This window comes from Homo sapiens, chromosome 9, assembly GCF_000001405.40.
Source record: "Homo sapiens chromosome 9, GRCh38.p14 Primary Assembly".
Classification (NCBI taxonomy): Eukaryota; Metazoa; Chordata; class Mammalia; order Primates; family Hominidae; genus Homo; species Homo sapiens.
The window spans coordinates 96,341,134-96,368,690 of NC_000009.12; the positions used below are offsets into that span (position 1 = coordinate 96,341,134).

At 42.6% G+C, this 27,557-nt stretch overlaps 1 protein-coding gene and 1 long non-coding RNA gene across 4 annotated transcripts in view, besides 3 other annotated features; both read right to left on the reverse strand.

The window, feature by feature from the left end:
* The window catches only part of SLC35D2-HSD17B3 (SLC35D2-HSD17B3 readthrough), a 148,406-nt gene that overhangs the window by 105,828 nt on the left and 15,021 nt on the right, over positions 1-27,557 (reverse strand). The window contains exons 2-8 of the long non-coding RNA NR_182427.1: positions 27,139-27,172; positions 23,331-23,417; positions 19,021-19,088; positions 10,905-10,976; positions 9,970-10,038; positions 4,166-4,268; positions 2,771-2,863 (exon numbers count right to left, since the gene is read on the reverse strand). This is a non-coding gene — a long non-coding RNA (SLC35D2-HSD17B3 readthrough). The remainder of the gene's footprint in view (positions 1-2,770; positions 2,864-4,165; positions 4,269-9,969; positions 10,039-10,904; positions 10,977-19,020; positions 19,089-23,330; positions 23,418-27,138; positions 27,173-27,557) is intronic.
* The window catches only part of SLC35D2 (solute carrier family 35 member D2), a 70,268-nt gene that overhangs the window by 27,690 nt on the left and 15,021 nt on the right, over positions 1-27,557 (reverse strand). For 2 of the 3 annotated variants that reach the window (NR_104627.2, NM_007001.3), the window contains exons 2-8: positions 27,139-27,172; positions 23,331-23,417; positions 19,021-19,088; positions 10,905-10,976; positions 9,970-10,038; positions 4,166-4,268; positions 2,771-2,863 (exon numbers count right to left, since the gene is read on the reverse strand). Coding sequence is in view for 2 of the 3 variants with exons in the window: in NM_007001.3 (NP_008932.2) it covers positions 2,771-2,863; positions 4,166-4,268; positions 9,970-10,038; positions 10,905-10,976; positions 19,021-19,088; positions 23,331-23,417; positions 27,139-27,172 (526 nt within the window). In the remaining variant the exon portion in view is untranslated. The remainder of the gene's footprint in view (positions 1-2,770; positions 2,864-4,165; positions 4,269-9,969; positions 10,039-10,904; positions 10,977-19,020; positions 19,089-23,330; positions 23,418-27,138; positions 27,173-27,557) is intronic. The other variant, NM_001286990.2, reaches the window with a different exon arrangement.
* Positions 1,345-1,869: an enhancer, noted in NCBI's record as "H3K27ac-H3K4me1 hESC enhancer chr9:99104760-99105284 (GRCh37/hg19 assembly coordinates)". NCBI's record gives its function as "activates a minimal SCP1, AML or CMV promoter by ChIP-STARR-seq in naive H9 embryonic stem cells {active_cell/tissue: H9 hESC(naive)}" and the evidence as "EXISTENCE:reporter gene assay evidence [ECO:0000049][PMID:30033119]".
* Positions 1,870-2,393: an enhancer, noted in NCBI's record as "H3K27ac-H3K4me1 hESC enhancer chr9:99105285-99105808 (GRCh37/hg19 assembly coordinates)". NCBI's record gives its function as "activates a minimal SCP1, AML or CMV promoter by ChIP-STARR-seq in naive H9 embryonic stem cells {active_cell/tissue: H9 hESC(naive)}" and the evidence as "EXISTENCE:reporter gene assay evidence [ECO:0000049][PMID:30033119]".
* Positions 15,366-15,535: an enhancer, noted in NCBI's record as "experimental_110853 CRE fragment used in MPRA reporter constructs". NCBI's record gives its function as "activates a minimal promoter by MPRAs in K562 erythroleukemia cells, with activity observed for the non-introgressed 9:99118866 variant allele {active_cell/tissue: K562}" and the evidence as "EXISTENCE:reporter gene assay evidence [ECO:0000049][PMID:34662402]".

A 27,557-nucleotide genomic window follows, 5' to 3' on the forward strand; every position in this document is an offset into this window, starting at 1 on the left:
AAAATTAGCTGGGTGTGGTGGTGCGCTCCTGTAATGCCAGCTACTCAGGAGGCCGAGGCAGGAGAATTGCTTGAATGTGGGAGACAGAAGTTTCAGTGAGCCAAGATCATGCCACTGCACTCCAGCCTGGGTGACAGAGTGAGACGCTGTCTCAAAAATATAAAATAAAATAAATAAAAATAAAGTATATGTTAGGTCTCTTGTACTTTCTATAAGGGAAGGATATGTTTTCACACATGAAGGAGAAAACAAACACTTTTCATATACAAATGAAGTAAATAAAGATGACAGTGGAGGATGTGTTTCTAGAGCCAGAGTGCCTGGACTGACCACCTGCTATCCTTGGGAATGTATTTAAGCACAATGCCCTAGATGCTTTGCCTATACGATAGAAATAGTAACAGGACCTTCTCTTCTGCTGTGGAAATGCAGTGAGATAGTTCATGAACAATGCTTTGAAAAATGTCTGACATAATAAGCCCTCAGCAAGTATTAGCTATTATTATTATCACATGAGAAAGCAGAAGATTCCACATGATAATCATTACAGGCAGAGGGCAACTTCTGAAAACACCATGCTACAAGTTTATAAGTCAATGACGTTGATGTAAGAACACATATTTCTTCTGAAACAATGTTATACATTATTAACATAATACACCTAATCTATTTTACTCATAAAGAACCTAAAATTCAGTTTCTGGTCACTATGCCTTTCATAGTGTTGTTGCCATGGGGAAATATGCTTTTAGCCCCAGTGAGATGTTTTAACAATATTTAGGAGTTTCTAGATTTATATTTTTGGAAAAAAAAAATATATATATATCTAAAATACCAGAATTTCAGAACAGATAAACTCCGCTGATTTAAAAAAACAAAACAAAACAAAAACAAAAAAAAACCCTCGTTTCTATAATAATGAAAGGAGACAAGCCTCTAGGACCACTTCATTAAGAGTTCATAATTTTTCTTTTTATCTTTTTTCCTTTTTTTTTGAGATGGAGTCTCGCTCTGTCACCCAGGCTGGAGTGCAATAGCGTGATCTCGGCTCACTGCAACCTCTGCCTCCCAGGTTCAAGTGATTCTCCTGCCTCAGCCTCCTGAGAAGCTGGGATTACAGGCACCCGCCACCATGCCTGGCTTATTTTTGTATTTTTACTACTACTAAAAATACTCTCTACAAATGGGGTTTCATCACGTTGGCCAGGCTGGTCTCAAACTCCTGACCTCAGGTGATCTGCCTGCCTCGGCCTCCCAAAGTGCTGGGGTTACTGGTGTGAGCCACCTCGCCTGGCCAAGAGTTCATAATTTTGTTTTGTGTAATGTTGGAGCACTGACTCAGTTTAAAATTGATTGATGGTAGCTGAAAAACAAATACTGTGTTTTCAGGTATCATGCCCTGCTCATTCTTACTAGAGAGGTGCAGGTGCCCGCTTTATCTTCCAAAACGGAATTAACAGGGAGGCTCAGGTTCACAACGTTCTAAATAACCCGAAAAAGAGAGCTCTTTATCGAGATTGGTGCCACTTGGTAGTTTTCCATATAAACCCGTGGAAATGGCTGTTTGTGCCCGGGGACGAGGTTGCTAAGCCCTTCTGCTGATCCCTCCTTCTGGGAAGAGAATTGGACAAGTGAGAAAGTCCAGCTGGAGAAAGAACAAGGAGCTGCCCAGGAGTCCACAGCAGCCTGCAGCCTTTCAGAGTCACTCAGACCCTAAAAGAGCTGCAAATGGGATTGACTTTCAACTGGTGGGCAACATACACCCATGCTGATTGCTAAATATGGAAACACTGTCCTGTCCATGGGTAAATGGGTGCTGCCCCAGCCCCAGGCCAGCAATGACGGGGTTATCGCCTGGCTGGTCAGGGCTGTGTCCGGAGTCGAGTCTGTGGGTGGAGGTCCCGCTGAGGAGGGTTTTGCCCATCGCATCTCGTTTCTCACAGTCACTTACACATCAGCAAAGTTCTCAGAGGCTGTGTGGCCCGCGACTTCCTGAAGAAGTCCGGGCTTGCACCCTTCGGGGTGGCCACTGGAGCTGTCACTATGGAGAATGTCCACACGTCCTGAGAGACTTGGCCTCCACCGCTCCACTGGGCCTCAGATCTTACCACTAATTTACCATTTTATTTGTCTCTCACCAGCAGCAGATACGGTTTCAGGGCAAATGCTGAAAGAACAACACCTTCCCAAAATTCAAATGTGGATCCTGGAATATTTAGAGGTAAAATGGCGTGATGGCTGGGATAGGTTTTAAAATACTCCAGAGGAACAAAAAGCTGGGGATGGATGAGGACAGATAAAATAAGATGGCAAAATGCCAAAGTGTTGAAGCTAGGTGGTGGGTCCCTGACAACTCATTGAATTACTCTATTTTGTGCATGTTTCAAAATGTCCGTAATAGAAAGTAACAAATAAATAAACAAACCTATGTTTTAAAATGATCAAAATCCCCTTCTAGGGTAAGTAGCTCTCCCAGGGTCCCCACATTAGCAAAGGGGGATATGGAATTCAAACTCAGATTTGTATTGTTGTTTTCCAAAAAGTACCAAGTCCAGAGTTCTTGGCTCTCCTTGATATGTGGCTAAGGATAAATGCCAATGCAAGGGTAGTGCCAAAAGGTGTTACTAGGGATATCAAACATCTTGTTATCATGTACCCTCCTGGTAGTCCTAGCTAACTTTACACTTTTTGTTTCAGTGCATATCAAATGTTAAATATTAAATTTTTTAAAGCCAGCTAAGGAAAACTGTAATGATTGTCATCAGCTCACCTGTTGCAGGTCTCCAGTGGAGACACTAATAATAAGAGTTGGGATAATCATGAAGCAGGCATTGTAGAAAAGTACTCCGTATTTCCCTAGCTCCTGCAAAAACAAAAATGTAAAAACCACTCAGTTTCAGAAACGTGAGGCACAGATTTCCTGGAGCCATTTATACAACTGCATATTCATGCGAAGTTAGAATGTGCATTCTGAGCAACTCTTTTGGAATATTTTCAGCAAATTTCTGACATAAAATGCTTTGGTTTGAGGGTACTGAGATTTTGGAATAAACATTTGTTTTACACCAAAACTACAGAGAAAACGCATGGCAGTGGGAAGCCTCTAGGGTTCCATTCATCTCCAGCATTCTAATTATGTGGGGTTTTTTTTAAAGCATGTAATTCAAAATGGGAAATCTGGAACAAAATAAAGAACATTAAAAATGTTAATATAAACAAAACTCTTTAAAAACATCTGCTCTTTCCATTAAAGGACAGCAGCATCATATATTTACTTTCATTAAAGTGGCCACACCACTTCACCATTTTCAAAAAAGGATGACATATTGTGATCCTCAAAAGACAACAAACCTGTTTTTGCAAAACTTCTACCGTTAAAAAAAAAAAAAAAAAAAAGGCCATGCAGGGGAAAAAAAAAAAAAACAGAGCAGATAAAAAAAAAAAAAAAAGAGCAGATTAAAAAAAATAGCTCATGGAAATAAGCCTGTTGGTCAGAGTGAACTCCCTCATCCAGCACAAAGAGCTTGGAACAAAGAAACATATGCCTGACTCATCCTCCGGGCTTCCTTGTAACAGCTGGGGGTGGGGGAGGGATGGGGGAGGGGGAGGGATGGGGCCTCCACGTGACAGGCAGCCACACAAAAGCAAAGCTCCTCTGCCCCACCCCTCATCATCAGAAGCAGCAGCTATTGCTGGACAAGACCTTACAAATTATCCATTGCAGTCATTTCATTCCACAGATAAGGAAACTGAAGTTTGGAGAAGTTAAGGTTCAAAGTCACAACAGTCAGTAAGTAGAAAAACTTGTGTCTGTAGCCCACATCTCCAGACTCCAAACTAGCGCTCTCTGAACAAATATCGTGACCCCTGACCTTGCCTTGGTGATTGATGATGCTGGTAAAAAAATTAATTTGCCTTTCAGAATAATCCCTTTTTATATGTTCTGAGTGTGCATCTAAACTAGTGGCTTTTCCCATCATATCTCATTTTCACCCAAAATTTCGCAAATAATAACTTATACAGACAAGATAATTGAAAATAAGGAATTTACAGGTCATATTATATAAATTAAATTACATTCCAACTGTACACATTCATTTTCATTTTTCATATAATTCTAGGGGCCAGATGACAGAGCCAAAAAGCCATAGGCAAGGTCTGGTACCTTTGGGTCCATTTTCTGTTTGGTATAAACTCCATTTGCTGCTGTGAAGATATCATTCAGGAATACAAAAATATAGCCTTCTAAGTTAAAAGCAAGGTCAGACCTGGGAGGGAGACCACAAAGGGAGAATGATTACTCAAAAACTCACAACTTGGCCTCCAAGCCCGCCTGATCTACCTTTCCCTAATCAAACCCACTTTTCTGTGGCACACTTTCCCCGCTTTGTGGTAGTGAATGATTAATTCCTCTGCTTTGCCTCCAGACAAAAACCAAACCAGCCCATCAGATGGCTTCGACTCAATCGTGAATGGCTTAAAACCAGAGCGACATTAAGCATCTTCCTTCAACTGCAACCCCTTTCTTTCGCTAGCTGATGAATCCACATAATAACTGGTGAGCCCTGACTTTCCTAAGGGGAGTGATTCGCCCCGATCCACCCAGGGGCTCTGCTTATTGTAGTGAACAGGGCCACCTCCAGGGTGCAGCCAGTGAGGGGCAGCTGGGCAGAGGCTGGGTAAGAGGGGTCGCATGAGGCAGCCACACCTCCATCTGGTGCCCAAACCGCACCCCGTCCATCAAAATGGCAAGGCAGGTATCCATCCTTCTATGTGACCCCTCTATGGCTCCTTTCTTCCCATTCTTTTGAAACAGCTTCTCTTCCATTTCCATTATAAATAGCACCAGCATAAATACGTTTGGGGATCTATGACAGGAACAAGAGGAAGAGCAATAGCTGAGCCATGATGTGGCCCACCCACCTGCACTTGATCGTTGCAGACAGTGCTAGGCCATGTCATAATTCAGAAATACACATTGCCAGGGAGGAAAACCTTTTCCTGTACCCTCTTAGATTCAGTGTCTGGGGGCCTGCTAATTTAACTGATAAAAGACAGATTAACAGGAGAAAGAGAATACGAATCTTATTAATATGTTCCCTGAAGTTCACAGAAAAGAAGTGAAACTCAAAGAAACAGTTAGACTTGGGGACTTACGTTTTAAAAAGGAAAGAGGATTTGGGCTTCAAGGAACAAATAAATTGTGTAATTGTTAGAAAGTAACTAGGAAACCTATGGTGGAAATGATGAACGAGAAGGGTTCTTTTAGGGTTTGTTTATGCAGATGCATCTCAGGGCCGACCCTCCGTCCAGTGATAGGAATTGCTCTCCTCTTCCTGGGATGGGAGAAGCGGTCCTCTTCACAATGGGAAATTGATTCCCTGGTTTTTAGGCAGAAAGGAGAAGGCAGCAAACTTCCTGATCTGTTGATTCTCAATCTTTCTCGGCTCAAAATAATCCTGATCTCACAGTGGCACAGTTTGCAGTGGCATACCCTGAATCTTCTTCAATGTCAAAATAAGATTATTTCTAACCAAAGAGAATGAAACACAGAGCAAAAATTCTACCAAAATCTGAATGCAAATTAAATTGGATTTTTGCTTGACGCCTCCACACATTATTATCTACAAATATATTTGTGAGAAGGGAAATTAATTTTAGTCATCATAAGTCAGAATTCTCCCTCAGTCACAATTTAAAAAAAAAAAAAAAAGGATTTTTGGCCAGGCGTGGTGGCTCCTGCCTGTAATCCCAGCACTTTGGGAGGCCAAGGTGGGTGGATCACCTGAGGTCGGGAGTTCGAAACCAGCCTGACCAACATGGAGAAATCCCATCTCTACTAAAAATACAAAATTAGCTGGGCGTGGTGGCACATGCCTGTAATCCCAGCTACTTGGGAGGCTGAGGCAGGAGAATCACTTGAACCAGGGAGGCAGAGGTTGTGGTGAGCCAAGATCGTGCCTCCAGCCTGAGCAACAAGAGCGAAACTCTGTCTCAAAAGGATTTTCTTCAAAATAAGGGTCTTCCAAATTTCTTACCTACCCACATGTGATTCAGCGTGAAGAAGAGCAGAGTCTGCCGCCCCCTGAGACAGCAGAGCCAAGTGAGTGGAAAGGGGATGGGGGGAGATGCTGCCCACCTCCTGGGAGAGCTGCAGGGGAACTCCTACTCAGGGGACCAAGAGTTCCCAGCAGCGCTGTTCCCACTCCCGGAAGCCTGGGTCACTGTCAGGCAGCTTACCCACTGTTTGTTTAGGCCAGTGGTGACAGCACAGACATTTCTGAAGAATTTACTTGTTTAATCAATTAGAGCAGATTCATGTAACCCTTGCAGTTGTTCAAGCGATCCTCCCATCTCAGTCTCCTGAGTAGCTGGGACTACAGGCATGTGCCACCATGCCCGGCTAATTTTTTTACTTTTATTTTTGTAGAGACAGGGTTTCATTATGTTGCCAGGGCTGGTCTCGAACTCCTGGGCTCAAGCAATCCCGTCACCTGGGCCTCCCAAAGTACTGGGATTGTCAGAGGCGTGTGAACCCGAGCAACTCCATCTTAAATAGGAGCTGGGTAAAATGAAGCTGAAACCTACTGGGCTGCATTCCCAGGCGGTTAAGGCATTCTAAGTCACAGGATGACATAGGAAGCCGGCACAAAATACAAATCATAAAGACCTTGCTGATAGGCCAAAACCCACTGAAACTAAAATGGCCACAAAAGTGACCTGTGGTCATCCTCACTGCTACACTCCCGCCAGCGCCGTGACAGTTTACAAATGCCAGGGCAATGTCAGGAAGCTACCCTATATGGTCTAAAAGGGGAGACATGAATAATCCACCCCTTGTTTAGCAAATCATCAAGAAATAACCATTAAAAATGGGCAACCAGCAGCTCTGGGGCTGCTCTTTCTATGGAGTGGCCATTCTTTTATTCCTTTACTTTCTTAATAAACTTGCTTTCACGCTGCACTGCAGACTCGCCCTGAATTCTTTCTTCCACAAGATCCAAGAACCCTCTCTTGGGGTCTGGATCAGGACCCTTTCCTGTAACAGGATTACAGGCATGGGCTACCACACCCAGCCCAGATGTATTTTAACTTTTTCTGGCCATGTAACTTGTTTTTGAATAAAATGTAAGAGAAGGTGACACGTCACTTCTGGGTGAAACCTTTAAGAGCCAGTGCATAATTCCCCACCTTCCCTTTTCCTGCTTGTTTGGCAAAGGAAGTGCCCTCTGAGGCAGGGATTCCATCAGCCTGGATCCCTGAGTGAACACATGGAGCAGAGCCCTCGCACTAGCACTGCCTAGTGTTGGACAGCGTGGATGGCGTGGATGGGGTGCATCTGGTGAGTGAAGCTACTGCCGTGTGGAGGTTGTTTGTTACAGCAGCATCACCTGCTCATCCAACAGTCTGATCTGCCACTGCTTGCATCTGGATGTGCTAATGTAAGAGGAGAGCAGGATAGGGTCACTGCTGGTCTGTAGCTAAGCACTCACTGCTGATCTGTAGCTAAGCACTGTGGCTAAGCACTATGAATGCCAGCTACCAGGTGGGGATCCATTCTGTGAGTGCCAGAGGAAGAGCCAGGCTGAGCATGGCTACTCCAGGCTGGCTCTTGGTTGAAAGTTAGATGCTTTAGGAACCCCGATTTACCCTTTTAGATTGTTTGTAGACTGTCCTTACATATGTGAAGCACGGACTGGATTTCTGATCACTGGTTCTGGAAACGCACCTGCATACCCACGGTAACTGAAGGGCCATTCCTCACCAAAGACTTACCACAGTTTTATAAACCATTTTTTGCAAAAGTCTTTAACTGGCTGTAAGTCAGTGGTTTTCAAAATGAGCCCTAAGGAAGCTAGAAGAGAGGGGCTGTGCCGGGGAGACCTCAGAGTGCTATGGGAGAAGCCCAGGGAATTTCACCCCAAAAATATGGTACCCTGGCATACAGATTATTTTACATGGAAAGCCTTTGAAGGGCAGCAGATGCTGAAGAGGCTTTTCTTGGATACTCCCTTTTCAATCTTAAAAGAGTGCGCCCACCCATGAGAACACACTTGCTTTCCATCCCCCTCTCTGAAATCTACTGCAGAGAAGACAAGGAATGCAGCCACATCTGGGCAGACTTTAAAAATATAATGTCTGCCTCTCGGGTGCAAATTCCAAAGAGAATCAATCCTTTACAATTTTTGTCTCCCAGGTCCATTCATTCTCTCCAGGCATCATTTCTGAACTCCCAAAAGCATTGTCCCCATTCCCTGCCCTCCCCTGAAGAAGGATATAGAAGCACCTGCACCCCACTGGGTCACTGGGTGGCCGCTCTCCCGTGATCTCTACCCCAGGCATGGGAAGGTAAATCTGTGTGTCTTTCTCTCCTCTCAATCTGCTCTTTTGTCAGTTCCTTTTTTTTTTTGAGATGGAGTCTCACTCTGTCGTCCAGGCTGGAGTGCAATGGCACAATCTCAGCTCACTACAACCTCCACTTCCCAGGTTCAAGCGATTCTCCTACCTCAGCCTCCTGAGTAGCTGGGATTATAGGCACCTGCCACCACACCTGGCTAATTTTTGTATTTTTAGTAGAGATGGGGTTTTGCCATGTTGGCCAGGCTGGTCTCTAACTCCTGACTTCAGGTGATGCACCCGCCTGGGCCTCCCAATCGCTGGGATTACAGGCATGAGCCACCACGCCCGGCCTGTCAGTTCCTTTTTTAATGAACCTTCAGAGAGTAGAAGGGGAAGCTGTCTCCCTTAGCCCCTGGAGCATCCTCCACAGAACTCCTCCCTCTTTAAACTACTTTACTTATAAAATTTCATTCCAAAAAAAGCCTGTCATGACTAGATGAGGCTCTGAGAACTGCTGTCTAATGGGTGCTGGCCCTATACCTGCGGTGTGAATTGGAGCACTGAGACCCCAGAGCCAGCTTTCAAGCAGTAAAACTCAGCCCCTGGCTAGGACTAGGGGAGAGAAAGGTACAGATGACACGTAAGTAATAAACCTTAGTCTACACAATGGACTAAATACATTTATAATGACAGTAAGCATGATTTGTTTTTCTTAGAGACAGGATCTTACTCTTTTGCTCAGGCTAGAATGCAGTGGTGCAATCATTGCTCACTGCAACCTCAAACTCCTGGGCCCAAGAGATCCTCTTTCCCCAGCCTCCTGAGTAGCTGAGACTCCAGGCACACACCACGACGCCAGGCTAATTTTCTTTCCTTTTTTTTTTTTTTTTTTTTTTTTTTTGTAGAAATAGGTTCTCACAATGTTTCCCAAGCTTATCTCAAACTCATGGGCTCAGGTGATATTCCCACCTAGGCTTCCTACAGTGCTGGGATTATAGGGGTGAGCCACCACACCCAGCCTGGAGCTAAGTTTTGAACCCAGGGATGTAACTATTCACATGCACTATCCACCATGCTATAGCAGAAATCTGAGCACCTGCCTGCCCACGAAGACTTGGAGTCCTCGTTATTCCTTTTGCAAAATAATTATTAAAGTAGTAGTCATGCACCAGTGTTGGCTCATATCCCAAACGTACAAATATATTTAGCATTCTACCATCGGAAACAGCAACTGCTAAGGTATCATGGAATAATAAAATAAATCAGCAGACAAAGGCTTTGTAAGTCTGTTATTATTAATCAAATGCCTAAGAACTTCTCAAGTAAAGTTGTTATAATGAAGACAAACATTCAGTAAGAAATGTAAACAGTTCACTGCTTTTTGTGAAGAAAAGCTATATTAATATCTTGCAATGCTCTCTTCATATATTCTCAGAAATTTTCTGGCCAATGTGGGACCCACTTTGACTTTCATAGGAACACATGGGGATTCCACTAACTTCAACAGATTTGTCTCTTGCCTGCTCAATTCAACAGCAGCCAGATGGAAAATGAAAAACTGAGGATGGGGCTGGGCCTATTGTCAAAGACACAAAGAAGTTATTGAGCAGAAACAGTCCAAAGTCTTACCCAGCTGCTATGAAAGCCCCGAGAATAATGGCAAAGACACTGAGGATGATGTTGAGTGAATACTGCTTCCTGTAATAAATACACAAATAAGAAAGGAAAGGGAGCAGAGAGGAAAACATTGAAATATGATTATATTTTTTAAACAAATTGAAAATAGACATCAGCATTTTTATAGCTAAAATCCAGCAGACAATGCTTGATGCAGAGAAAGCACTAAAAGTGTTTCTAAGTCAGACTAAATTTACATTATTTCTTAAGCAGTTTTCTTAATCTAATTACAAACTGATTTCTCTGTTCTCACTAGAGAGATACTGGGACAAAATACAGAAGCGCTCCTGCTGGTGGATCTAGTTTGCATGGACTGATAGTGAGTATTCAAAGATTATGATAAAATTCAATACAAGGGCTTAAAACACTGAACCACCAACCAAAATTCATTTCTAAATAATCCTCCCAGCAAAATCAAGAATCAACTTTTTGGATATCAGACTAAATATCCTTATGAAAAATTTTATACCAACAATATAAAAATTAATTTCTTCTGATATTATAATTACTGCGTCAGAATTGATATCCCTCATACCCTGCACAACTATCCTGTATGTATACATGGACAGTTTCCCTTCTGTATTCCAAAATTGGTTTATATTCCATCTGGCTCAGGAAACAGGTTTACATCCTTTTTGGAGTGTTTCTTTTACTTTCTTACGATTTTCTACCACAAACATGCATTATTTGTCTATGGTAAAATTACAACTTTTAAAAAATCCCTCATTAAGTTCTTAGGGAATCACAGAAGCACAAAACTACTTTTAAATGAATAAACCATTTGTCCTTAAATTATTGCAACTAGCAATGGCTACTAGAATTTGCTGGGTAAAAGAAATGCAGTGGGTGGGAGGCACACTGGAAGAATGGAGGAAAAACAAAATCACCCAAGTATGATGGTTTCCAGAAGTAAGGTAAGTGGAATGGTGAATTTCCTGAGCACGGTGAACATCGGTAGGCTGCCAGGAAAAGAGTGAAGCATGTCAGACACCAAGGGTTGGTTGATTGGTTTTATCTTTTACATGTTTTACATTTTTAATTAAGCTTACTAATTTTCCAAATCAATTTTCACATTTACCATTAACAAATCACATTAAATAATAAAAATAAATGGAGATTAAATAATTTCATACCACTTTCACTTAGCAATTTATTTACTTATTTTTTATTTATTTATTTATTTTTTTTGGAGACAGAGTCTCGCTGTGTTGCCCAGGCTGTAGTGCAGTGGTGCAATCTCGGCTCACTGTAACCTCTGCCTCCCGGGTTCAAGCGATTCTCCTGCCTCAGCCTCCCAAGTAGCTGAGATTACAGGCATGCGCCACAACACCCGGCTAATTTTTGTATTTTCAGAAGAGACAGAGTTTTGCCATGTTGGCCAGGCTGGTCTCAAACACCTGACCTAAGGTAATCTGCCCGCCACAGCCTCCCAAAGTGCTGGGATTACAGGCGTGAGCCACCGCACCTGGGCTTCACTTGGCAATTTAAGACACCGTTCTGTCCATCCATTCTAAAGGTTGTGCTGAAACTACTTCATGATGTGAACCAATACATCCTTTGACAAATCAAGTCAGGCCTATGCGTCATCATTAAATAGTCCTGACCGACTGGGCACCGTGGCTCTCGCCTGTAATCCCAGCACTTTGGGAGGCCGAGGTGGGCAGATCACTTGAGGTCAGGAGTTTGACACCACACTGACCAACATGGTGAAACCCTGTTTCCACTAAAAATACAAAAATTAGCCAGGCATGGTGATGTGAACCTGCAGTCCCAGCTACTCGGGAGGCTGAGGCAGGAGAATTGCTTGAACCCGTGAGGCGGAGGTTGCAGTGAGCCAGGATCGCACCACTGCAACCTCTGTCTCAAAAAAATAAAAAAAAGTTCTGACCTTGGACCTAATTACTTCTTCTTGGGAAACTTATTCTAAGGTAATAATCAAAAGAAAAAAAAACCACATGCATAAATGTGTTCACTGCAGTGTCTGTGGGAAAAACATCAGAAACAACCTAAATGTCAGACATCACAATAGTTAAATAAATTATGATACATTCAGTTGAGGGAACATGATACTATAACTCTGTAATACAAATACTATTAGAAAATGAATATTAAATAAAACAAATGGATACAAAACCATGTAGGATCTACAACTGTAACAAGATACATTCTGTATACAGAAAAGGGCTGCAAAGGATTATTTATTTATTTATTTATTTATTTAGAGATAGAGTCTCACTCTGTCACCCAGGCTGGAGTGCAGTGGCGCGATCTCAGCTCACTGCAATCCCCACCTCCCGGGTTCAAGCGATTCTCCTGCCTCAGCCTCTCGGGTAGCTGGGATTACACTACCACGCCCAGCTAATTTTTGTATTTTTAGTAGAAATGAAGTTTTGCCATGTTGGCCAGGCTGGTCTCGAACTCCTGATCTCAGGCGATCCACCTGCCTCAGCCTCCCAAAGTGCTGGGATTATAGGCGTGAGCCACCGCACTGGGCTGAAAATGAGTATTTAAAATTGTGTGTTAAAAGGTAGATTATGGGTGATTTTCTTCCCCAAATTTTATGTAGTAAGGCTAAACTGCCTTAAAATATATAGTTAAGAACCTTCTACCCACTCCTAACACCCAGAGATTCCACGATGCAGCTCAGCGCATAGTCAACAGACTGCCAGGGCTGCCAAATGCCAGCCCATCTCCACCTGCTTCTAGATGCGACCCTGAGCGGCCGATGAGCTAGGGAAAGAAAGTCAGAGCTGGAACAGCAGCACAGGAGGAGAGTGGCAGCTCAGCCACCCATACCCCAGCACAGGCTTCACATCATCAACCACACTGCATCCAGAGAGCAGCTGCAGAAAGAATGTTCAGGAACTTTATATTCACACCTAAAGATGTCTTACAAGACTGGCTGGACCTACATTTTTCAAAGCTGCAACAACAACAACAAAACGCTTTATATTTTCAATTGCATTCGAAAAGTATTCTAGATTATGCCTTTTAAAAGCAAATAAGGTATACTTAATGGTTAAAAAGTGAATGTTTTCCGCCTATGATTAGGAACAAGACCAGGATGTTCACTCTCACTATTGTATCTATTCAACACTGTATTTGAGGTTCTAGACAGTGCAGTTAGAAAAAACAAACATCTCATTTGGAAAGGAAGAACTAAAGCTATCTCTATTTGCAGAGAACACCTTCTATACAGAAAATCCTAAGGGATCCACTTAAAAATTATTAGAACCACAATAAGTGAATCAAGCAAACAGGCAGGAAACAAAACGAATATACAAAAGTCAACTCTGAATATACACTAGCAATGAGCAATCCAAAAATGAAATTAGGCTGGGCACAGTGGCTCACGCCTGTAATCCCAACATTCTGGGAGGCCAAGGTGGGTGGATGAATTGAGGTCAGGAGTTCAAGACCAGCCTGGCCAACATGGTGAAACCCCACTTATACTAAAAATACAAAAAATTAGCTGGACGTAGTGGTGCGTGACTATAATCCCAGTTATTTGGGAGACTAAGGCAGGACAATTGCTTGAACCTAGGAAGCAGAGGTTGCAGTAGCCAAGATCGCACCACTACACTCTAGCCTGGGCAACAAAGTGAGACTCCATCTCAAAAAAAAAAAAAAAAAAAAAAAAAGTTACCAAAGCAATTTCATCTAAAATAGCATCAAAAAGAATAAAATTCTTAGACACAATTTTAACAAAAGAAGTGTAAGACTTGTGTGCAGAAAACTACAAAACATTGTTAAAAAAATTTAAAAAACCAGGTGCAGTGGTTCATGCCTGTAATCCCAGCACTTTGGGAGGCTGAAGTGGAAGAATTGCTTGAGGCCAAGAGGTTGAGAGCAGCCTGGGCAACAGAGCAAGACCCCGTCTCTACTTTGAGACAGGGTCTTGCTCTATTGCCCAGGCTGGAGTGCAGTGGCGTCATCTTGGCTCACTGCAACCTCCGCCTCCTGGCTCAAGCGATTCTTGTGCCTCAGACACCCAAGTAGCTGGGATTTAGGTGTGCACTACCATGCCTGGCTAATTTTTGTATTTTTAGTATAGATGGGGTTTCACCATGTTGAGCAGGCTGGGTCTCAAACTCCTGACCTCAAGTGATCCACCTGCTTTGATCTCCCAAAGTGCTGGGACTACAGACGTAAGCCACCACGCCAAGCCAAAAAATATATATGTTTTTTAAATTCACAGTAGTGAATGTCTGTAGTCTCAGCCACTTGGGAGGCTGAGACAAGAGGATGGCTTGAGCACAGGAGGTCGAGGCTACTGCAGTGAGCTATGATCATGCCACTTGTACTCCAGTCTGGGCAACAGAGTGAGATATTGTCTCTAAGAAAAAAAAAAAATTTTTTTTTTTTGAGACGGAGTTTCGCTCGTCGCCCAGGCTGGAGTGCAATGGCGCAATCTTGGCTCACTGCAACTTCCACCTCTTGGGTTCAAGCAATTCTCCTGCCTCAGCCTCCCAAGTAGCTGGAATTACAGGTATCCACCAACACACCCAGCTAATTTTTGTATTTTTAGTAGAGATGGGGTTTCACCATGTTGGTCAGGCTGGTCTCGAACTCCTGACCTCAGGTGATCCACCTGCCTTGGCCTCCAAAGTGCTGGGATTACAGGCGTGAGCCACTGTGCCTGGCCTTCTAAGAAAATGTTTAAATCAAAAAAAGAAAGTAATGAAGACCTAAATAAATGGAAAGACACTCCATGTTCATGGATCAAAAGACCTTAAGTTATTAAAACCTTATGTTATTAAAAATACTCTTCAAATAGATACACAGATTGCTACAGTTTGGATATCTGACCCTTTATGCCTCATGTTAAAATTGGATCCCCATGTTGAAGGTGGAGCCTGGTGGGCAATGTTTCAGCTGTGGGGGCTGATTCCTCATGGATAGATTAATCAACTGGGGCAGGGGGAGTGAGTTCTCACTCTGTTAACTCCCATGAAGGTTGATTGTTAAAGGAGCCTGACAGCACCCCCTCTCTTGCCATGGGATCTCTGCGCGCACTGGCTCCCCTTCCCCTTCTGCCAGGAGGGCCTGAGGCCCTCACCAGATGCAGATGCTGGCGCCATGCTTCTTGCACAGCCTGCAGAACTGTGAAGCACACGAACCTTTTTTCTTCATAAATTACCCAGCCTCAGGTAGTCCTTTACAGCAACACTAACAAACTAAGTCACAGATTCAACACAATCCCTATCGAATCTTAGCTGGCTTTATTTATTCTTTTTTTTTTTTTTTTTTTTTGCAGAAATTGACAAGCTAATTTTAAAATTAATAAGGAAATGCAAGAGAATTAAAAAATCAAAACTATCTTGAAAAAGAAGAACAAAGTTGGTGTACTTATGCTTTCCAATTTCAAAATTTAATACAAAGTTACAATAATCAAGACTAGCTAGTACTGGTTTAAAGATATCTAGATAGATAGCTGGCTGGGCATGGTGGCTCACTCCAATAATCCCAGCAATTTAGGAGGCTGAGGCAGGTGGATCCCGTGGGCCCAGGAGTTCGAGACCAGCCTGGGCAACATGGTGAAATGCTATCTCTACAAAAAAAATTAAAACAATTATTAGCCAGGTGTGCTGGTGCTCACCTGTGGTCCCAGCTACTTGGGAGGCTGAGGTGGGAGGATCGCTTGAGCCTGGGAGGTCAAGGCTGCAGTGAGTGGTGACTGTGCTACCACACTCCAGCCTGGGTGACAGAGCAAGACCCTGTCTCAAAAAAATAATAATAGAGATAGATAGGCTGGGCGTGGTGGCTCATGCCTGTAATCCCAGCACTTTGGGAGGCCGAGGCAGATGGATCACCTGAGGTCAGGAGTTCGAGACCAGCCTCAACATGGAGAAACCCCGTCTCTACTAAAAATACAAAATTAGCTGGGCGTGGTAGTACATGCCTATAATCCCAGCTACTCTGGAGGCTGAGGCAGGAGAATTGCTTGAACCTGGGAGGTGGAGGTTGCGGTGAGCCGAGATCGTGCCATTGCACTCCAGCCTGGGCAACAAGACCGAAACTCCATCTCAAAAAATAAAAAATAAATAAAGATGATATACAATCAATAGAATACATTCTTAAAATTATGATCAACTGATTTTCTACCAGGGTTCCAAGACAATACAATGGAAAAAGAACAGTCTTTTCAACAAATAGTGCTGGGACAACTGAACATCCACATGCAAAAAAAATGAATTTGAACTTCTATCTCATACCACATATAAAAAATTAACCCAAGAGCTGGGTACAGTCGCACGTGCCTGCAGTCCCAGGTACTCGAGAGGCTGAGGTGGAGAATCATTTGAGCCCAGGAGTTTGAGGCCACAGTGAGCCATGATTGCACCAGTGAAAGCTACTGCATTTGAGTCTGGGTAACACAGCAACATTGAAAGACCCCATCACTTAAAAGAAAAAAATTTTTAATTAATTGAAATGTATTAAAGACCTGGACATAGGATCTAAAACTATAACATTCTTAGAAGAAAGTATAGAAGTAAATCTTTATGACCCTTCAGTTAGGCAAAGCCTTAGATAAAACATCAAAAGTACAAGCAACAAAAGAAAAACATAGAAAAACTGGAATTCATAAAAATTAAAACTTTTACAGGCTGGGCACAGTGGCTCATTTCTGTAATCCCAACACTTTGGGAGGCTGGAGCAGGCAGACTGCTTGAGCTCAGGAGTTCAAGATCAGCCTGGGCAACATGGTGAGACCTAGTCTCTACAAAAAACATAAAAATAAGCCAGGCGTGGTGGCACACACCTGTAGCCCCAGCTATTCAGGAGACCGAGACAGGAGAATCGCTTGAGCCCAGCAGGGTGAGGCTGCAAGTGAGCTGTGATCGCACCACTGCATTCCAGCCTGGAGACCCTGTCTCAAAAAATAATAATAATATTTTTATAAATGGATAAACAAAATATTATATATTTTATATATATATATATATATATATATATACCTGCAATGGAATATTAATCAGCCTGAAAAAGGAATTAAATTCTGATACCTAATATAACATGGATAAACCTTGAAAATATGATGTAAGAGAATAAGCCAGACAAAAAAGGCAAAAATATTGTACAATTCTACTTCTATGAGATGTCTAGAGTAGGCAAATTTGTAGAGACCTAAACGTAAAATGTAAACTATAAAAATTCTGGAAGATAGCATTTGGGTAATCTTGGTTTGATGATGAGTTTCAAATTCAAAACCAGAAGTATAATCCATGAAAGAAAAAAAATGATTGTGAACTTCATTAAAATTAAAAACTTCTGCTCTGTGAAAGACAGTGTTAAGAAAATAAAAAGATAAGCCACAAACTAGGAAAAAAATATTTGCAAAACACATATTTGATAAAGGACTTGTATCAAGTAAATGAAAAACCATGAATCCATGATAGGAAAACACAACAACAAACAAACAAAAAACAACCCTTCCTGGTCACTATTGAAGGTGTCAGGACACTAATTTATTAGTCTGAACATTGATAAAGGAAGCTTTTATCCTGCTTTTCCTATATGAAGTGGTGAAAATTTGTTCTTATCGAAAAAGTTTAGGTTGGGTGTGGTGGCTCATGCCTGTAATCCAAGTACTTTGGGAGGCCAAGACAGGCAGATTACTTGAGGTCAGGAGTTCAAGACTAGCCTGGCCAACATGGTGAAACCCCGTCGTTACTAAAAATACAAAAATTAGCTGGGCACGGTGGCAGGTGCAGAATCCCAGCTACTTGGGAGGCAGGAGAATCGCTTGAACCCAAGAGGTGGAGGTTGCAGTGAGCCAAGATCACATCACTACACTCCAGCCTGGGTGACTGTGCAAGACTCCATCTCAAAAAAAAGATAAGATATCAACCCCTTAAAATCATTAACAGTGGCCGGGTGCGGTGGCTCATGCCTGTAATCCCAGCACTTTGAGAGGCTGAGGCGGGCGGATCACGAGGTCAGGAGATGGAGACCATCCTGGCTAACACGGTGAAACCCCGTCCCTACTAAAAATACAAAAAATTAGCCGGGCATAGTGGCAGGCGCCTGTACTCCCAGCTACTGGGGAGGCTGAGGCTGGAGAATGGCTTGAACCTGGGAGGCGGAGCTTGCAGTGAGCCGAGATTGTGCCACTGCACTCACTCTAGCCTGGGCGACAGAGCGAGACTCCGTCTCAAAAAAAAAAAAAAATCATTAACAGTGAAACTGATCCATTTAATAGCATTCCAAGAAGGATAAGGTATTATGTGCCCCATAATCAAAAGACCCTGAAATGGGCCGGGCACAGTGGCTCACACCTGTAATCCCAGCACTTCGGGAGGCCAAAGCGGATGGATCACCTGAGGTCAGGAGTTCAAGACAAGCCTGGCCAACATGGTGAAACCCTGTCTCTACTAAAAATACAAAACTTAGCCAGGCGTGGTGGCAGGCGCCTATAATCCCAGCTACTTGGGAGGCTGAGGCAGGAGAATCGCTTGAACTCAGAAGGTGGAGGTTGTAGTGAGTCAAGATAAGGTTGCACTCCAACCTGGGAGACAGAGTGAGACTCTGTCTCAAAAAAAAAAAAGACCCTGAAATAAATGCAGATGCAAATTTCAGAAGTTTATAACACACACTTGAAAATGTCTGTCATTATTTTTCCCTGCACCAAACCTGGTCTACACCAAGGCTGAGGAGATGTTCCTGCTCTTATAAAACTGAGATGAAACCAAAAGTCACACAAAATCATATTCACACCAACAATCCCACCTGGATAAATCAGACCTTCTCTACCTTAATGTCTACAGCTCTCAGATTCTATGTTCAGGCTTGAATATAATTTAAAAAAATAAGCTTTTTAACATTCCTAAAATCATTGGCCAATTAAACTCAAAACTCCACCTTACTTTCTTAAACTACTAAATATTATTGTCTTCTATATATGGTACAAGCACTATCAATGGCAAAAATCAATCTTGGTCTTTGTACCACTGGCAGCACAGAGGTGAGGAACTTTCCACCAGCCATTATCCTATACTCTACCTTAATTTACTTGTGCTTGATAATCCACTTATGTGGTTTCCAACGTAGAGGAGAGGCAGAGGAAACAGCTTCCATTAAAAAAAAAAGAAGAAATATTTGGTTAGAACTCCAATAAGCATTTTCCTTCACATATAAAAATGGTGACAGATACTTCACCAGAGAGGATCTTCAAACAGGCATTAAAAAAATGATTTTGGCGGGGCGCAGTGGCTCACGCCTGTAATCCCAGCACTCTGGGAGGCCAAGGTAGGCGGATCACGAGGTCAGGAGTTCGAGACCAGACTGACCAACACAGCGAAACCCCATTTCTACTAAAAATACAAAAATTAATTGGGCATGGTGGCACACATCTATAGTCCCAGCTACTCGGGAGGCTGAGGCAGGAGAATCACTTGAACCCGGCGGGCAGAGGTTGCAGTGAGCCAAAACTGCACCACTGCACTCCAGCTTGGGCAACAGAGCAAGACTTCATCTCAAAAAAAAAAAAAAAAAAAAAAAAAAGAAAAGGTGCGCCTTCTCACTAGTCATCAGGGAAATGCAAACTAAAGCCCATAAGATGTCACGACACACCCATCAGATTAGCAAAATTTATTTATTTATTTTTTGAGACAGAGTTTTGCTCTTATTGCCCAGGCTGGAGTGCAATGGTGTGATCTTGGCTCACTGCAACCTCTACCTCCCAGGTTCAAGCAATTCTCCTGCCTCAGTCTCCCGAGTAGCTGGGATTACAGGCATCCGCCACCATGCCCAGCTAATTTTTTGTATTTTTAGTAGAGATGGGATTTTGCCATGGTGGCCAGGCTGGTCTCGAACTCCTGGTCTCAGGTGATCTGCCTGCCTCAGCCTCCCAAAGTACTGGGATTACAGGTGTGAGCCACCACACTCAGCCCAGATTAGCCAAATTTAAAATGACTCACATACCAAGAATATGAAGCAACAGGGACTTTCAGGCACGTTTGTCAGAAGGTGAATTGGTATAGCCACCATGAAGAACAGTTCAACGATACATATTAAAGCTGAAGATATGCATGCCCCAGGGGCCAGCAGTTCCACTCTGATAGATACATTCCTCACTCATATGCACTGTTATGAAATGAATCTTGTTTTTCCCCACATTTATATGTTGAAGCCCTAATCCCCAATGTGACTGTATTTGGAGATGAGGTCTTAACCAAGGTAATTCAGGTTACATGAGGGCATAGTGGTACAGCCCTAGCCCAACAAGACTGGTGTCCCTATATGAAGAGAAGAGGCCAGGCACGGTGGCTCACACCTGTAATTCTAACACTTTGGGAGGCCAACACAGGAAGATAGCTTAAGCCCAGGAGTTCAAGACCAGCCCTGGCAACATAGTGAGACCGTCTCTACAAAAATTTTTTAAATTAGCAAGGCATGGTAGCAAATGCTTGTAGTCCCAGCTACTTGGGAGGCTGAGACAGGAGGATCACTTGGACCCATGAGTTCGAAGCTGCAGTGAGCTGTGGATGTACCACTGTACTCCAGCTTGGGTGACAGAGCTAGACCCTGTCTCAAAATAATTAAAAAAATGAAAACAAAAACAGAAAAAAAAAAAAAGGAAGTGGAAGAGATACGAGGAGTGCACACACAGAGGAAAGGCCATTGAGGACACAGTGAGAAGGTGGCCGTCTGTAAGCCAGGACGCAAAGCCTCACCAGAAGTCAACCCTGCCAGCACTTTGGTCCTGGACTTCCAGCCTCCAGAACTGTGAGGAGATCCATTTCTGTTGTTGAAGCCACCTGGCCGGGGGTATTTTGTTACGGCAGCCTCAGCTAACACATGTACGCCAGGGTCCAACTAGAAGCATGTTCAGAGTGGTACTTTTTATTTTTCTAGCCCTCAAACTGGAAACATCCAAATTACAATAGAACAGATAAGTAAATTGTGGTATATTCATACAATGAAAATAAAAGAATACAGCCACACACAACACAGATGAATTTCACCATCATAATATTAAGTGAAAGAAGCAAGATACCTAAGAACATAGAGTTAGATTCCCTTTATCTCAAGTTTAAAAGCAGGTAAAACGAGACTACAGAATTTAGGGATGTGGCTGGGTGTAGTGACTCAAGCCTGCAATCCCAGCACTTTGGGAGGCCAAGGCGGGCAGATCACCTGAGGTCAGGAGTTCAAGACCAGCCTGACCAACATGGAGAAACCCCATCTCTTCTAAAAATAAAAAATTGGCCGGGCATGGCGGCGCATGCCTGTAATCCCAGCCACTCGGGAGGCTGAGGCAAGAGAATCACTTGAACCCAGGAGGTAGAGTTTGCAGTGAGCTGACATTGCACAATTGCACTCCAGCCTGGGCAATAAGAGCAAAACTCCATCTCAAAAAAGAAAAAAAAAAAGAATTTAGGGATGCATCCAGATTTAGAATAATTACAAAGAAAGCAAGAAAATTATTGTTAGAAAAGTTAGGATAGTGGGTAAGGAAGACTTTGTGATCCCATTTCATGACCTAAATAATGGTTTACAAGGGTAATTATTCATTCAACTACACATTCAAATAGGATGCCTTTTTCACTATGTATAGATTAGATTTTACCATTTTAAAATTTTTTTAATTATACTATACCACAAAGTAAGAGTAAGTAAGCCCAGTAATATTCTGGTTTTTCTCATGATGATTAGGTTGACAGCTTTCATATACTTCAACCTTGTATTTTTCTCTTTTTCTGGATGTCCCTGTTTTGTTTTTTTTTTTTTTGAGATGGGGTCTCACTCTGTCGCCCAGGCTGGAGTGCAGTGGCACAATCTTGGCTCACTGCAACCTCTGCCTCCTGGGTTCAATCAATTCTCCTGCCTCAGTCTCCCGAGTAGCTGGGACTACAGGTGTGCGCCACCACGCCCGGCTAATTTTTTTGTATATTCAGTAGAGACGGGGTTTCACCATGTTGGCCAGGCTGGTCTTGATCTCTTGAACTCGTGATCTGCCTGCCTTGGCCTCCCGAAGTGCTGGGATTACAGGCGTGAGCCACCCCACCTGGCTTATTTTTTTTTTTTTTTTGAGACAACGTCTTACTACGTTCTCCACACTGACCTCCAACTCCTGGCCTCAGACGATCCTCCTGCCTTGATCTCCCCGAGTCACTGGGATTATAGGCGTGAGCCACCACACTGGGCTCCCCTGATTACTGATGCTGTAAGCATGTGCTTCTTTGGTCTGTCTGATAAATAATCCAGTGCTAGATGCTGGCATTTTTCCAAGCACTAGAGAAACAGCAGCAAACCAGCCACATGAGATCCTCACCCTCAGGGAACTGACAGTCTGATTTAAACCTAAATGCTGTCATAATCCATAAATACCACCTGTTGTATGGGACTGGTCTAAGAATTAAATGCCTGCCCTAATGTCTGGAACCCAGCAACTGTTCAACAAACGTTAGTTCCATTCCACAGTCCACGAAGGAATGGCAGATTTTATGTTTCTAGTTCCAGGACGGAAAAAACTGCGTATTTCTATGTATATCAAATTGCATTCTTCATTCCACTCACAGCTTTTGTCAGTCCAGGATAAAAATGAAAACTGAAAACAGAAATCAGTAAACTAGAGCTCAAATCCAGCCCAGCTCTTGTTTATGTAAATAAAGTTTTATTGGAACACATGGACATCAACCCATTTAAATGTCATCAAGGGCTACTTTCATGGTACAGTGGCAGAGGTGAATAATTACAAGAGATGGTCTGACCCTTTACCAAAAAAGTTTGCCAATGCCTAATTTAGAGTTCTCTCACTTCCCAAGACACACAGTATTCATTTATTTGATGTCAGTTGTTAAGCACATACTTTTACTACTACTTACTGCATTACATAAATGGACAACTAAATGATATACAGTCTTTATTAAAGTTTCTTGGCCAGGCACAGTGGCTCACACCTGTAATCCGAGCACTTTGGGAGGCTAAGGTGGGTGGATCACTTGAGGTCAGGAGTTCGAGACCAGCCTCACCAACATGGTGAAACCCCATCTCTACTAAAAATACAAAAACAAAACAAAACAAAAAAAATTAGCTGGGAATGGTGGCAGGCACCTGTAATCCCAGCTACTAGGGAGGCTGAGGCACGAGAATCACTTGAACCCAGGAGGCGGAGATTGCAGTGAGCCAAGATCACACCATTGCACTCCAGCCTGGGCGACAGAGCGACAGTCCATCTCAAACAAAAAAAGAAGTTTCTATCCAGTGCAGGCAGGAAGTACAGTGTGTATAGAAATTGACCTGTACTCTAAAATCAATGTGTATTTTCACATCTTCTATCACAGTCATACATACTTTTCATTACTTACCTTTACAGGAATTTTCTTATCAAAATCAGGGAAGTGAATGATTTTGTTTAGCTTGGACACATATAGTATCATTATGGTGGCTGCCATCTGAAGAAAAGGGGAGAGAGAAACTTCAGCAAAATATCTGCAAAGATTGCTTGAGGTACAATGACATCATCAAAAGAAAACACATTCATCAAAAAGAAATATAGCAAAAAATTCATTTTCTAGGTTCCAGAAAAAAATAACTATTTCTTAGAATATTAACATTGTTTTCCTTGCCACAGTACAGATTCCATCAGAACTCCAGGCAAAAAACGTAACGTCGGGCAGGGCACGGTGGCTCACAGCTATAATCACAGCACTTTGGGAGGCCAAGATGGGTGGATTACTTGAGGTCAGGAGCTCAAGACCAGCCAGGCCAACATGGTGAAATCCTGTCTTTACTAAAAAACAAAAATTAGCTGGGCATGGTGGCAGACGCAGAATCCCAGCTACTCAGGAGGCTGAGGCAGGAGAATCGCTTGAACCTGAGAGGCCAAGGTTGCAGTGAGCCAAGATCACACCACTGCCCTCCAGAGTGAGACACCACTGTCTCAAAAAAAAAAAAAAAAAAAAAAGGTAATATCAGCTGGGTGCCGTGGCTCATGCCTGTAATCCCAGCATTTTGGGAAGCTGAGGTGGGAAGATCACTTGAGCCTAGGAGCTCCAGACCAGCCTAAGCAACATGGTGAAAACCCATCTCTACAAAAAAATACAAAAAATTAGCCAGTCTTGGTGATCTGTGGTCCCAGCTATTCGGGATACCGAGGTAGGAGGACCACCTGAGCCCGGAAAGTCAAGGCTGCAGTGAGCCCAGTGAACTATGATCATGCCACTGCACTCCAGCTTGGGAGACAGAGCAAGACTCTATCTCAAAAAAAAAAAAAAGTGTAATATCCAATAGACACACACACACATTATCTCACGGGGCTCTAGGAATGAACTGTGGCAGAGGGAGAAAGGGAATGGTCTCCCTGACAGTGACAAATGTGCAAAAGTGATCACAGCCAGTGAGATGACACAATGATCCTGGACCATATTTCCCATATACTAAGCATATGGCATCCTCCCCCATAAAGGCACGGGAACATTCTTTTAAAAGAAACTCCACACCTAAGCACATTTTTTAAAAAGTCCATTATTTCCATAAAACAGAAGACCAACAAAGAGGAAAAAAAGTTCTTTAAACTTTACTTTTAAAGATTTACTTTTCAATCTAGCTGGTATAGCAAAAATGTCTCCTTCAAATCCTCTTAATCTGGAGTACCCTAGGTATACTGGAAATACTCCATATCATTATTATGAAATAAAAATTTAATGTCATCTTTCATGCAAGTTTTAGAACTTACTCAATTCTCTCCATTTTAGGATGTGAAAATTTAAGACTCCTTCAACACGATTATAATCCTATACCTTGCTCCTGAGTTTACAAACTTAAAACTTATAATATATTTATGTAATTAAGCCCATCCTGAATTATAACTGTACTTTGTACTTACGCCTCACATTATAATTCTTAAAGAAATACAATAACATTGGCCAGGCGCAGTGGCTCACGCCCATAATCCCAACACTTTGGAGGCCAAGGTGGGCAGATCGCTTGAGCCCAGAAGTTCAAGACCAGCCTGGGCATCATGGCGAAACCCTATCTCTACAAAAAATACAAAAATTAGTCAGTGTGGTGGTGCATGCCTGTAGTCCCAGCTACTTGAAAGGCTGAGGCAGGAGGATCACTTGAGCCCAGGAGGTGAAGGGTACAGTGAACCAAGATCACACCACTGTACTCCAGAATGGGCAAGAGAGCCAGACACTGGAAAAAAAAAAAAAAAAGGAAGGAAGGAAGAAAATAAAAATAAAATAAAATAAATATACTAACACTTAAATGTAATTCAGACTTTTAAAATTAGATCTAACTGGCCTCTTCCCTCAACAAATTGCAAATCAGAAAGGCTTTACCTTTGAGTATAAGCCACTGGGTTAAAGAGTAATGAATTTATTTCACTTAGAGACTACAAAGGACACCTTATCACTGATTTTTTTTTTTTTTTTTTTTTTTGAGACGGAGTCTTGCTTGTCACCCAGGCTAGAGAGCAGTGGTGCAATCTCGGCTCACTGCAACCTCTGCCTCCCAGTGAATGTTCAAGCAATTTCTGACTAATTTTTGTATTTTTAGTAGAGACTGAGTTTCACCATGTTGTCCAGGCTGGTCTCAAACTACTGACTTCAAGTGATCCACCCACCTCGGCCTCCCAAAGTGCTAGGATTATAGGCATGAGCCACCGTGCTCGGCCTGATCTTTTTTTTTTTAACGTGCTTTTTCCTAATATTTTTACATTGAAATATAAAGATAATTTTTTTACTGTAAGAAAATTCTTGTTATGATTGTTTCTCCCTAAAATGATGTTGCAAAGAGGTATTTATTAGCAAGACATTTAATCAGAATGATGTTTATTTGGCCAGGCACAGTGGCTCATGCCTGTAATCCCAGCACTTTGGGAGGCCGAGGTGGGTGGATCACGAGGTCAGGAGCTGGAGACCAACCTGGCCAACATGGTGAAACCCTGTCTCTATTAAAGATACAAAAAATTAGCTGGGCATGGTGGCACGCACCTGTAATCCCAGGTACTCGGGAGGCTGGGGCATAAGAATCACTTGAACCCAGGAGGCAGAGGCTGCAGTGAGCCAAGATCACACCACTGCATTCCAGCCTGGGCGACAGGCTGAGACTCAGTCACAAAAAAAAAAAAAAAAAAAAGAATAATGTTTACTCACATAAACGACAGGCTTTTCCAGATTCACAATTAAAAATTTAGTTAACAGGTACTATTTTCATAATGTTAAGCTTTTCCCTCTATGAATTAAATCAAAATCAAAACAAACAAACAAAAAACATTGGTATCTGTTACTATTTATTTATCTGGAAATCACCAGTATACAACCACAAGAATAAACAAGCCACAAATTAACATAAATGGGAAATTTCAGAAACTGCCAAATGGGCGTAGTTTGAAAGCTTACCCAAGCTCATCCTTGTACTTGTAATCCCAGCACTTTGGGAGGCCAAGGTGGGTGCGGATCGCCTGAGGTCAGGAGTTCGAGACCAGCCTAGCTAACATGGCGAAACCCCGTCTCTACTAAAAATACAAAAATAGCTGGCCATGGTGGCAGGTGCCTGTAATCCTAGCTACTTGGGAGGCTGAGCTGGAAGAATTTCTTGAACCTGGGAGGCACAGGTGGCAGTGAGTCGACATTGTGCCATCGCACTCCAGTCTGGGCGACAAGAACAAAACTCCGTCTCAAAAAAAAAAAAAAATTCAAACTCTCTCTTGAAAACCTTCTGATGCTAATAATAAGGGCAGCATGGTGGGTCCCACCCCATCTCTCAACTCTTTTCCTGTCAGGCACAATGGCTTAAACTAAGTATCAAGCTGACACTTTGAGTGGGACAAGTATTCTCTCTCCCACCCAGTCCTCAGCCAACTCATGTGTTACCCTCCAGGCCTTGGAGGCTTTGAGTCTTGCAGCCCCCTGCTTTAGAGTAATTAAATTCAGTTAAGGAACTTAAAATAAGAAGCTGTTTTTCCCATAAATACAATTGTTCCTAAATTGTAGACTGAAATAAAATAAGTGTCAATATGTCCTGTTGTCTCACCAGGAGTACCATGACCCTCTGGTCCTCTGCCAGCTGAATAAATTTGCAAACCACAGCTTTAAACAAAAGGACTTAAAATGTCATTATGAATACTGATAACAAAATAAGAGGTTAATTCTATTTTTTTTCACTCACCTGTCCAATTCCAAGGAAAATTGGTGACGGGAAACTACAAAGGACACAGAACAACAAATCAGTTGAGCAAATATAAAACTCTGAAGATAGTACATAATAAATAATGACAAGTTATTAAACAATCTGAGAAAATGAAAATTTATCAAATTGTTCACTTTTCATTTAATTCTTTTTTTTTTTTCTTTTTAAGACAGTGTCTTGCTCTGTTGCCCAGGCTGGAATGCAGTGGTGTAAACATGGCTCACTGGAGTCTCAACCTTCTGGGCTCAGAAGATGCTCCCACCTCAGCTTCCTGCCACCCAGGCTGGAGTGCAGTGGTGTGATGGCTCAAGCCATCTTTCCACCTTTGCCTCCCTAGTAGCTGGGACCACAGGGGCATGCCACCACACCCAGCTAAACATTATATACACACACACATA